This window comes from Homo sapiens, chromosome X (assembly GCF_000001405.40).
Source record: "Homo sapiens chromosome X, GRCh38.p14 Primary Assembly".
Taxonomy (NCBI): Eukaryota; Metazoa; Chordata; class Mammalia; order Primates; family Hominidae; genus Homo; species Homo sapiens.
The window spans coordinates 121,791,248-121,804,320 of NC_000023.11; the positions used below are offsets into that span (position 1 = coordinate 121,791,248).

The window sequence follows — 13,073 nt, forward strand, 5'->3', positions numbered from 1 at the left end:
CTTCCTCAATTTTGTAAAGCACACACTTGTGCTTTACAGAAACTAAACTGTGTTCTTTTGGGGCCATGCCTAATGACATAATTTCTATGTACATATTGCCTGTCCATTTTGAAAAAGCTCATGAGCCTAGTAAGATCCGAGAGCTATGTGGTATACCTATTTGCCTATTTGAAAAAGAAAAAGAAACAATGGTAAGTATTTAGAAGCTTCATCTCTCACATGCTTTTAAATAGGTGAGGTAAAAAATGGGAGTCTGTTATCTGCACTGGTGCAGATCTTTATTTTATAGCCACTAATTCCTCAGAGGAGTAATGAAGGATGACAGCACGAGAAGAGGGATCTCCAGACTCATTTTTGTGTGAGGCTTTGCCAAGAACAACATTTATCAGGGCAGTGCATACACCACGTAAGGGTGGGGTGGGAGGGCTGGGCAATGTGTGATTTGTTGCCACCACCAAATTAACTCTGCTCAATTGTGTTGTCTTTCCAATTTTACATCCTTGATTACACATTCATAAAACTGTCTCTTCTTTTAAGCATAAATACAACTGTTTTGAAAATATAATATAATTGTGCATGTTTATCAAGCACCTAATTTGTTTTACTTGCCAGTTACTAATTACATATGAAATATAAAGGAATTGCATGCCGTATATTCTTTGTAACTACTGCAGGAAACATTTTTGGTAGATTCCAATCAACATTGAAGTTTCAGGAAGTAATAGCCTGGTGTTGAACAATCCTGATAAACTCTTATCAGCTTGAACATCCAGGAATATGCAATTAATAGTTTTAATTGCTCTTTATATTCATCTGCAAAATATGGCACAGCAAGAACATATCCCATGTCTATTGTCGTCTGAGTTTTCATGCTAGAAACAAGTATTTTAGCCTAACTAGCTCTAGGTTCGTTAACTTTATCTATTGAGAGACTAAACTTCTTATGTCAGTATTCAAGTTCATCATTTGATACCTAGATTTACGTTTCCCAGGGTTATCCTCACAGTTTACCACAAACTCTGTGGCTTAAAAGAACAGAAATTCATCCTCTCACCATTCTGGGGGCCAAAGTCCAAAATCAAGGTGTCAGTGGGGCCACATTTCCTCAAGAGGCTCTGGAAGAAAATCTTTCCTTGCCTCTTGCAAAATCTGGTGACTGCCCAACATTCTTTGAAACTATTTGGGTTGTTCTCACTTCACCCCAATCTCTGCCTCTTTCTTCACATCACCTTTTCCTCTGTGGGTGAGTCCAGACTCTCAAAACTTCCTCTACTGATTTCTTGTAAGGATACATGCCATTGCATACACATATGCCAGATAATCCAGGATAAATTCCTCTCATGTCATTTGCCATATAAGGTCATATTTACCATTTTGGCATATAAAGTAATACTTACAAGATTCTAGGAATTAGGAAATGAATATATCTTTGAGCAATATTTTGTTCAGCCTACCACACTAAAGTAGGGCCTGACACATAATAGAAATGTGATAAATCTACTGACTTACAGGACTTGAGCAAGTTCTCTCTCACTCTCCTTCCCCCCTCCCATCTTTACTAAAAGAGGGTTGAATGGGATAATTCATCCGACTTGAAATAACGAAAGAACAATGATAAAGAAAGAAAAACACATGACATACCGATTAGGCCGTGTACAGGCTTGAGTTTGTTGTGTTTCATTCCACATCTCAGTCACTCATTACAAGAGACACGTACATATCTTTGCATTTCTGAGTTGGCTTACTGTAGCTTACTGTCAGTGCTTTAAAGGCAGTAGAATACAATTTGATAGACTTAATTTGCTAATTGTTTAAGAAACGCAAATGTTGTCATTGCAAGTACATATGTGAAGTGGAGGAAATATCTGTAACAGAATACTTGCAATATATATGTTACTAGTACAGAGCCCAACACTTCTAACCATGAAGAACAAGATTTTAATAGTTTTCTTCAAATATTATGAAAAAAAACACTGTAAGGAATGTAGACTATCACACCACAGAAAACACTTTTGGTAGCTAAAATCCTAATCAAGTGTAAATAGTTTGCAATAATTATTATTTCAGCACTTATACTTGTAATAATTAAAAGGAAACATATCACTTTAAAATGCATTTGATGAAATCTAAATGCCATCAAAATTTGATACCTGTTGTCATCTATTTTTAAAAATATGAGAATTCTTCTTTCAGAATTTCTTTATAGGAAATTCCTCCTTGAACTCATGTTTTCATTCAACTACGCTGAAGATTTTTGTCCTAATTTAATACGTTTGCATTAAAATCTTTTATTGGTGACCTCCTCACTGCTCTCTGAAAAAAATAAGTATTTATTTTATTTATTTTTTATTTTTATTTTTATTATTATTTTTTGAGACGGAGTTTCATTCGTGTTGCCAAGGCTGGAGTGCAGTGGCACAATCTCGGCTCACTGCAAACTCCGCCTCCTGGGATTAAGCAATTCTCCTGCCTCAGCCTCTGGAGTAGCTGGGATTACAGGCGTGCGCCACCACGCCCGGCTAATTTTTGTATTTTTAATAAAGATGGGGTTTCACCATGTTGGTCAGGCTGGTGTCGACCTCCTGACCTCAGGTGATCCACGTGCCTCGGCCTCCCAAAGTGCTGGGATTACAGGCGTGAACCACTGCGCCCAGCCAAAAAATATATATATATATAAGTATTTAAATAACAACATTTAAAAACTCCTATGACCATAAGATCCTAAGTGTTTAACCTTTTTCGAGTGTTATCATTACAATTATAATTATTATACAATTGCTCAAATAACTTAAATATATTAAACATTTAGTAAATGTTACTAAACAAGCCAAATAAGATTTTTTGAAAATGCTTCCACAAATGAGATAGTAGGTATTTTACTTTCAATTCATGTGTTTGTGAATGTTTAATATTTATTATTAGAAAGAAAGAGGGTTTAATGGAAATTAACAGCAAGAAGGAGAGGGTATTGGGACACTAGTAAGCATGGCCTTTGAAAAGATCTAATATGGATTCTATTTAAGTATGCTTCATTTACAGAGGATTCACAATAAAATTCTGTTAATTTTAATCTAACAAGTACATGACAGGAATGAATAAATGAGCAGATAAGTCATTGAGGAAAGAGCAAGCAGGAGACTCATGCCCAAGTTTCAAAAATAAATAAAGATTTACAGTATTCAAAAATCTTTCACCAAAACGTAGTTTCTTATGAGTCTTAAGTCTTTAAAATATAAAATGCTACATTTCCAGACATATCCTTCACTAAAGATGTGTTTTTTTTGTCACAAGTAAATGTGGAAGTTTTTTCCTCCTTGAAATCATGCAATATTTTCAAGTGAGACACAATCCAAAACAGGCGATTATGGGAGCAATTGCCAAGATCTTTCTTGTTAATAAGAATGGTGGCTGGGCGCGGTGGCTCACGCCTGTATTCCTAGCACTTTGGGAGGCTAAGCTGGGCGGATCACCTGAGGTCAAGAGTTCGAGACCAGCATGGCCAACATGATGAAACCCCGAGTCTACTAAAAATACAAAAATTAGCTGGGTATGGTGATGCGCGCCTGTAATCTCAGCTACTTGGGAGGCTGAGGCAGGAGAGTCACTTGAACCCGGGAGGTGGAGGTTGCAGTGAGCCAGGATCTCGCCACTGCATTCCAGCCTGGGTGACAGAGAGAGATACTCCTTCTCAAAAAAAAAAAAAAAAGAAAAGAAGAAAGAAAAAAAAAGAATGGTGAATGAATGAAATCTTAAAAGAGCATGCTTTATGGCAGGTCTGTATTATCCATGATGCCTTTACAGTTCTTAAATATTTTAATTATAAAATAGATTACTAAGACACAAAGCTTTGCAAATGTTTGTAACTTGGATATAAAAATACTACCACCTTTTATAATTGCTTTCAATTTTTACTTTTCATTATTTTGGGTATATAATAGTTGTGAATATTTATGTTGCACATGCAATTTTTACAGTATGGGAAAATGTGTAATGATGAAATCAAGGTAATTATGGTATACATCATCTTAAGCATTTATCATTTTTTGTTTAGGAACATTCCAATTCCACCCTTTCAGTTACTGTAAAATATAAAATAAACTATTGTTAACTATAGTCAACCTATTGTGCTACCAGACACTAGATCTTATTCATTCTACCTAACTGTAGAATGCATTACCCATTAACCATCCACATTTAGCCCCCCACTTCTTGCTATGAATCCCAGATTCTGGCTGGTAACCATCATTCTACTCTTTATATCCATGAGTTTGATTTTATTTTTAGGTCCTCAATAAAACTGAAAACGTGATGTTTCTGTTACTGTGCTTGGAGTATTTCATTTACCGTAATGTCCTCCAGTTTTATCTGTGTTTTTGCAAATGACAGGATTTCATTCTTTATTATGGCTCAGTAGTATTTCATTGTGTGTATATACTATATTTTCTTTACCCATTAATTCACTGATGGACATGTAGGTTGATTTCTTATCTTGGATACTGTGAATTTTGCTCCAACGAACATGGGAATGAAGACATTTCTTTAATAAATTGATATAATTTATTTGAGATATATACCCAGCAGTGGGATTTCTGGATTGTATCGTAGTTCTATTTTTAATTGTTTGAAGAACTTCCATAGTGGCTATACTAATTTACATTCCCACCAACAGTGTACAAGGGTCCCCCTTTCTCTGCATCCTCACCAGCATTTGTTATTGCCTGTGTTTTGGATAAAAGCCATTTTAACTGGGGTGAGATTATATCTCATTGCAGGTTTTATTTGTATTTATTTAATGATTAGTGATGTTGAGCAGTTTTAAATAGACTTGTTGGCTATTTATTTGTCTTCTTTCGAGAAATGTGTTTTCAAATCTTTTGCTTTTTTTTTTAATATGCAGGGATTTTATTAGGGAAATGCCTTTGAAAGAAAATAGCAAGGGAGCTAGAGAAGGTTGGAAGAGACATCAGATCATAGTGCAAGTCTGACCCCGGGTGAAAGAGACGGGACAGAGTTTGGGTGGAAGTGCCCTAGACTGTCATGCTGTGTAAGGAAGGTTTACAAGGCCATCAGGGAGTTCTTGAGCCAAAGTTGGCTGTTAGAGGAGTCTCACATCTCCCAGGAAAGGGCTTGTCTTGGTATTCTTGCTGTTCTCAGACATTAGTTGGATGCAGTTCATGGTAAGCGTGGCCTCCGTGCAAATGCAATAACAGATTTTCAGGAACCTCTTGGGATTTTGGTCAATTCCCCTGGAGGTCTATCAGGTGCATTTTCTTGGTCACCACAAATGGGATCAGCACAATAACTGGAATAGAGCAAGTCTCCATTTTGCTAGTTACTAATTATTTACTTACATACTACTACATTTAGGGTGTTGCTGATTTGTAGTTTCATAAATAGTGCTGCTTTGAGCATTGACATAATTGTTTCCTTAGGATAAATTTTTGGAATTGGAATGGTGGGGCAAAAGGATGTGAACATTTCACATTCTTTATACACGGTTGCAAATTGCCCTTCTGAAAGGTAAGACCCATTCATTATGACCCCTGTCCCTCATGGAGTAGAAGGTGCCTGCTTTCCCTACTCATTTGAGGTGCTTCCATGTTCCAGGCATATAAAAGGTCATGCTGTGCAATGCAGAGGACAGGTGGAATTCATGACACAAGCTGGTGGGAAAAGGAAGACAGAATGATTACAGTACAGTGTGGAATGATTTATATATGGGCTTAGCTTGACTGAGATGGTTAGTTTGGGAGAGTGGCATGGATGACCTGGACACAACAGAGGGAAGGCTTTACCTCATAACCTCCTCATGCCATCCATATGTTGGGGAGATCTTGTGTGTTTCCTGTAAGAGGCATTCTAGCCATAGTGTCAGATACTGAGCTTTATGGGAAAGCCTATGAATACCTTGCCCACTGCTAAATTTCTTTTTTTTTTTTTCTTTTAAGTTCTGGGATACATGGGCAGAACGTGGAGGTTTGTTACATAGATATACGTGTGCCATGGTGGTTTGCTGCACCTACTGACCCATCATCTAAGTTCCCTCCCCTTGCCCCCCACCCCCCAACAGGCCCTGGTGTGTGTTGTTCCCCTCCCTGTGTCCATGTGTTATCATTGTTCAACTCCTACTTATGAGTGAGAACACACTGTTTGGTTTCCTGTTCCTGTGTTAGTTTGCTAAGGATGATGGTTTCCAGCTTCATCCGTGTCCTCACAAAGGACATGATCTCATTCCTTTTTACGGCTGCATAGTATTCCATGGTATATATGTACCGCATTTTCTTTACCCAGTCTATCATTGATGGGCATCTGGGCTGGTTCCATGTCTTTGCTATTGTAAATAGTGCTGCAATAAACATACGTGTGCATGTGTCTTTATAGTAGATGATTTATATTCCTTTGGGTATATACCCAGTAATAGGGTTGCTGGGTCAAATGGTATTTCTGGTTCTAGATCCTTGAGGAATTACCATACTGTCTTCCACAATGGTTGAACTAATTTACATTCTCACCAACAGTGTAAAAGCATTCTTATTTCTCCATAGCCTCGCCAGCATCTGTTCTTTCTTCACTTGTTAATAATCGCCATTCTAAATGGCGTGAGATGGTATCTCACTGTGGTTTTGATTTGCATTTCTCTAATGATCAATGATGTTGAGCTTTTTTCATGTTTGTTGGCCACATAAATGTCTTCTTTTGAGAAGTGTCTGTTCATATCCTTCACCCACTTTTTGATGGGGTTGTTTGTTTTTTCTTGTAAATTTGTTTAAGTTCCTTGTAAATTCTGGATATTAGACCTTTGACAGATGGGTAGATTGCAAAAATTTTCTCCCATTCTGTAGGTTCCCTGTTCACTCTGATGATGGTTTCTTTTACTGTACAGAAACTCTTTAGTTTAATTAGATCCCATTTGTCAATTTTGGCTTTTGTTGCAATTGCTTTTGGCATTTTCATCATGAAGTCTTTGCCTATGCCTATGCCCTGAATGGTATTGCCTAGGTTTTCTTCTAGGGTTTTTATGGTTTGGGTTTTTATATTTAAGTCTTTAATCCATCTTGAGTTAATTTTTATATAAGGTGTAAGGGGTCTCATGTCAGTTTTCTGCCTAAGGCTAGCCAGTTTTCCCAGAACCATTTATTGAATAGGAGATCCTTTCCCCATTGCTTATTTTTGTCAGGTTTGTCAAAGATCAGATGGTTGTAGATGTGTGGTGTTATTTCTGAGGACTCTGTTTTGTTCCATTGGTCTATATGTCTCTTTTGGTACCAGTACCATGCTGTTTTGGTTACTGTAGCCTTGTAGTATAGTTTGAAGTCAGGTAGCATGATGCCTCCAGCTTTGTTCTTTTGTTTAGGATTGCCTTGGCTATATGGGGTCTTCTTTGATTCCAAATGAAATTTAAAGTAGTTTTTTATAATTCTTTGAAGAATGTCAATGGTTGTTTGATGGGAATAACATTTAATCTATAAATTATTTTGGGCAGTATGGCCATTTTCACAATATTGATTCTTCCAATTCATGAGGATGGAATGTTTTTCTATTGGTTTGTGTCCTCTCTTATTTCCTTGAGCAGTGGTATGTAGTTATCCTTGAAGAGGTCCTTCACAGCTCTTGTTAGCTGTATTCCTAGGTATTTTATTCTCTTTTTAGCAATTGTGATTGGGAGCTCATTTATGATTTGGCTTTCTGCTTGCCTATTGTTGGTGTAAATAAAAGCTTGTGATTTTTGCACCTTGATTTTGTATCCTGAGACTTTGCTGAAGTTGCTTATCAGTTTAAGGAGTTTTTGGATTGAGATGGTGGGGTTTTCTAAATATGAAATCCTGTCATCTACAAAAAGGGACAATTTGACTTCCTCTCTTCCTATTTAAAAACCATTCATTTCTTTCTCTTGCCTGATTGACCTGGCTAGAACTTCCCATACTATGTTGAATAGGAGTGGTAAGACACGGCATCCTTGTCTTGTACCAGTTGTCAAAGGGAATGCTTCCAGCTTTTGCCTATTCAATATGATATTGGCTCTGAGTTTGTCATAAATAGCTGTTATTATTTTGAGATATGTTCCATCAATACCTAGTTTATTGAGAGTTTTTAACATGAAGCGATGTTGAATTTTATCAAAGGACTTTTCTGTATCTATTGAGATAATCGTGTGGTTTTTGTCCTTGGTTCTGTTTATGTGATGGATTACATTTATTGATTTGTGTATGTTGAAGCAACCTTGCATCCCAGGGATAAAGCCAACTTCATTGTGGTGGATAAGTTTTTTGATGTGCTGCTGGATTTGGTTTGCCAGTGTTTTATTGAGGATTTTTGCATCAATATTCATCAGGGATATTGGCCTGAAGTTTTCTTTTTTTGTTGTGTCTCTTTCTTGTTTTGGTATCAGGATGAGGCTGGCTTCATAAAATGAGTTAGGGAGGAGTCCCTCTTTTTCAATTGTTTGGAATAGTTTCTGAGGAAATGGTAGCAGCTCCTCTTTGTACCTCTGGCAGAATTCGCCTGTGAATTTGTCTGGTCCTGGGCTTTTTTTGATTGGTAGGCTATTAATTACTGCCTCAATTTCAATTTGATACTGGTCTATTCAGGGATTTGACTTCTTCCTGGTTGTCTTGGGAGGGTGAATGTGTCCTGGAATTTATCCATTTCTTCTAGGTTTTCTAGTTTAGTTGCATAGAGGTGTTTATAGTATTTTCTGCTGGTAGTTTGTATTTCTGTGGGGTCAGTGGTGATTTCCCTGTTATTATTTTTTATTGTGTCTATCTGATTCTTCTCTCTTTTTTTCATTAGTCTAGCTATTGGTCTATCTATTTTGTTAATTTTTTCCAAAAAAAAAAAAAAAAAAACAGCTCCTGGATTCATTGATTTTTTTTTTGGAGGACTTTTTGTTTCTCTTCTTCAATTCTGCCCTGATGTTAGTTATTTTTTGTCTTCTGCTAGCTTTTGGGTTTGTTTGCTCTTGCCTCTCTAGTTCTTTTAATTGTGATGTCAGGGTGTTGATTGGAGATCTTTCTAGCTTTCTGATACGGGCATTTAGTGCTATAAATTTCCCTCAGCACTGCTTTATTTATGTCCCAGAGATTCTGGTATGTTGTCCCTTTGTTCTCATTGGTTTCAAAGAAGTTCTTCATTTCTGCCATAATTTCGTTATTTACCCAGGAGTCATTCAGGAGCAGGTTGTTCAGTTTCCATGTAATTGCGTGGTTTTGAGTGAGTTTCTTAATCCTGAGTTTTAATTTGATTGCACTGTGGTCTGAGAGACTGTTTGTTGTAATTTCAGTTCTTTTGCATTTGCTGAGGAGTGTTTTATTTCGAATTATGTGGTTGATTTTAGAATAAGTGCCATGTGGCACTGAAAAGAATGTATATTCTGTTGATTTGGGGTGGAGAGTTCTGTAGATGTTTATTAGGTCCACTTGATCCAGAGTTGAGTTAAAATTCTGAATAACCTTGTTAATTTTCTGTCCTGTTGATCTGTCTAATATTGACAGTGGGGTGTTAAAATCTCCCACTATTATTGTGTGGGAGTGTAAGTCTCTTTGTAGGTCTCTAAGACCTTTGTATGAATCTGGGTGCTCATATATTTAGAATAGTTAGCTCTTCTCACTGAATTGTTCCCTTTACCATTATGTAATGCCCTTTTTTGTCTTTTTAAAAAATCTTTGTTGGTTTAAAACCTGTTTTGTCAGAGACTGGGATTGCAACCCCTGCTTTTTTTTGTTTTCTTTTCATTTGCTTGGTAAATTTTCCTTTATCCCTTTATTTTGAGCAAATGTGTGTCTTTGCATGTGAGATGTGTCTCCTGAATACAGCATACTGATGGGTCTTGACTGTTTCTCCAGTGTGCCAGTCTGTGTCTTTTAATTGGGGCATTTAGTCCCTTTACATTTAAGTTTAGTATTGTTATGTGTGAATTTGATCCCGTCATCATGATGCTATCTGGTTATTTTGCCCGCTAGTTGATGCGGTTTCTTCATAGTGTCATTGGTCTTTATATTTTGGTGTGTTTTTGTAGTAGCTGGTACCATTTTTTTCTTTCCACATTTAGTGCTTCTTTTAGGAGCTCTTGCAAGGCAGTCCTGGTGGTAACAAAATCCCTCAGCATTTGCTTTTCTGGAAAGGATTTTATTTCTCCTTCATTTATGAAGCTTAGTTTGGCTGGATATGAAATTCTGGGTTGGAAATTCTTTTCTTTAAGAATGTTGAATATTGGCCCCCAATCTCTTCTGGCCTGTAGAGTTTCTGCTAAGAGATCCTCTTTTAGTCTGTTAGGCTTTCCTTTGTAGGTGACCTGGCCTTTCTCCCTGGTTGTGCTTGACATTTTTTCCTTCATTTTGACTTTGGAGAATCTGGTGATTATTTGTCTTGGGGTTGATCTTCTCACTGAGTATCTTTGTGGTGTTCTCTATATTTCCTGAATTCACATATTGCCTTGTCTTGCTAGTTTGGGGAACTTTTCCTGGGTAATATCCTGAAGTGTGCTTTTCAGCTTGTTTCCATTCTTCCCGTCTCCTTCAGGTACTTCAATCAATCGTAGGTTCAGTCTTTTTACAAAGTCCAATATTTCTTGGAGGCTTTGTTCATTCCTTTTCGTTTTTGTTTGTTTGTTTGTTTGTTTTGTTTTGTTTCTCTAGTCTTGTCTGCATGCCTTACCTCAGCAAGGTGGTCTTCAAACTCTGATATCCTTTCTTCTGCTTGGTCAATTTGGCTATTGATACTTGCGTATACTTCACAAAGTTATTGCGCTGTGTTTTTCAGCTCCATCAAGTCATTTATGTTTCTCTTTAAACTGGTTATTCTAGCTATCAGCTTTTCTAACCTTTTATCAAGGTTCTTAGCTTCTTAGCATTGGTTTAGAACATGGTCCTTTAGCTCAGCGTAGTTTTTTATTACCATTACCCATCTTTTGAAGCCTACTTCTGTCAATTCGTCCATTTCATCCTCCGTCCAGTTCTGCGCCCTTGCTGGAGAGATGTTGCAATCATTCAGAAGAGAAGAGGCAATCTGGCCTTTTGGGTTTTCCACATTTTTTTGTTGATTCTTTCTTTGTCATCTTCATGAGTTTGTCTGGTTTGGATCTTTGAGGCTGCTGATCCTTTGATGGGTTTTTTTGGGGGGCTTTTTTGTTATTGTTGATGCTGTTGTTGCTGCTTTCTGTTTGTTTGTTTTTCATTCAATGGACAGATCCCTCTTCTGTAGGGCTGCTGTGGTTTGCTGGGGTTCACTTGAGGCTCTATTCATTTGGTTCACTCCCGTGCCTGGAGATGTCACTCAAGGTGGCTGGAGGACAGCAAAGATGGGTGCCTGCTCCTTCTGCTGAGATATCTGACCTCGAGGGGCACCAAACTGGTGCCAGTAGGATCACTCCTGTATAGGGTGTCTGACAATCCCTGTTGGAGGGTCTCACCCAGTTGGGTGGCATGGGGAGCAGGACCTGTTTAACAAAGCACTTTGACTGTCCCTTGCTGGAGGGGCTGTGCTTCGCTGGGGCAAAACCCACTTGTCTGGGCTGCCTGCATTCCTCTGAACTACCAGGAGGAAAGGCTAAGTCTGCCGGTCCACAGAGACTGTGGCCACTGCTTCCCCTAGGGGCTCAGGCCAAGGGAGATCTGGGTTCTGTTCCTGAGTCTCCGGCTGGAGTTATTGGAGTTCTGCAGGGAAGCCCTGCCCAGTGAAGAAGCATGAGTCAGGGTCAGGCCTGAAGAGGCACTCTGACCACAGTTTGCCACAGCTGGTGTGTTGGGCTGCGGGGGGACACATCTTGGTACCAAGTCATGCAGCCTCCCTGGCTCCAGCAGGCGAAAAGCATGGCCTGGAGCTATAGAGATGGGTGCTGCCCTTCCCCCACTCAGGAAGCTTAGCATGTTAGGCAATTGTGAGTCCCAGTGCCAGGTGCTGCCCTGCCCCCAGTGAGCTCAAAGGGCTTAGACAGCAGGCAGCTGCACCTGTGGGGCTGGTCGCTGCTCCCCCAGAAAGCTCAGTAGGCTTAAGTGGATTCCAGCTGAGCGACTGTTGAGAATCTGCATGGCTCCGGGGTTGGGACACTAGGCCCCAGTGGCATGGGTTTGCGAGTGGGATCCTCCTGTCCGTGGAAGGAGCTTGGTTTCCCTGACTGGGTAGCATGCTCACTCACCTCTCCCTTGGCTGGGGGTTGGGGGCTCCCTTGCCCCATGTGGCTCTCAGGTGGGCCGCTGCACCACACTGCTCTTCCTTTCTCTCTGTGGATCACGCCAGCCTCCTAGTCAGTTCTGATGAGAGAACCTGGATACTTTGGTGGCCAGTGCAGGATTCACACGTTAATTGTGGTTCTTTTCGATGGGAGCCTCTGATCGCTGCTGTTTCCAGTTGGCTGTCTTGGCCCTGCCTACCCCTGTGCTTTTTTTTTAACCAGATTTTTTTTCCTATTGAGTTGTTTGAGCTCCTTATATATCCTGATTATAAATCCCTTGTCTGATGGGTAGTTTGCAAATACTTTCATTCTGTCGGTTGTCTTATTACTTGGTTATTTCTTTTGTTGTTCAGAAGCTTTTTAGCTTGATATGATCTCATTTGTGCATTCTTGTTTTGGTTGCATGTGCTTTTGACATTTTACTCAAGAAATCATTGCCCAGATGAATGTCCAGTAGTGTTTCCCCAATGTTTTTTTTTCAACAGTTTCATAGTTTTGGGTCTAAGACTTATGTCTTTAATCAGTGTTTTGATTTTTGCATATGGTGAGAGATGGGATCTATTTTCATTTTTCTGCATATGGCAATCCAATTTTCCCAGCACCGTTTATTGAATAGGGTTTCTTTAACACAGTGTATGTTTTGTCACTTTCATCGAAGATCAGTTGGCTGTAGGTATGTGACCTTATTTCTGGGTTTTGTATTCTTTTCAATTGGTCAATGGGTCTGTTTTTACGCCAGTACCACATTGATTTTGTTACTATAGCTTTGTCATGTAATTTAAAGGCAAGTGATGGAATGCCTCTAGTTTTGTTCTTTTTGTTCAGGATTACTTTGGCTGTTTGGTGTGGTTCCATATAAATTTTAGGATTTTTTTTCTCTGTGAATAATGTCATTAGTGTTTTC

The 13,073-nt window shown here is 38.8% G+C and overlaps 1 annotated feature.

Annotated features, from left to right (window-relative positions):
- Window positions 11,336-11,836: an enhancer, noted in NCBI's record as "H3K4me1 hESC enhancer chrX:120936436-120936936 (GRCh37/hg19 assembly coordinates)". NCBI's record gives its function as "activates a minimal SCP1, AML or CMV promoter by ChIP-STARR-seq in primed H9 embryonic stem cells {active_cell/tissue: H9 hESC(primed)}" and the evidence as "EXISTENCE:reporter gene assay evidence [ECO:0000049][PMID:30033119]".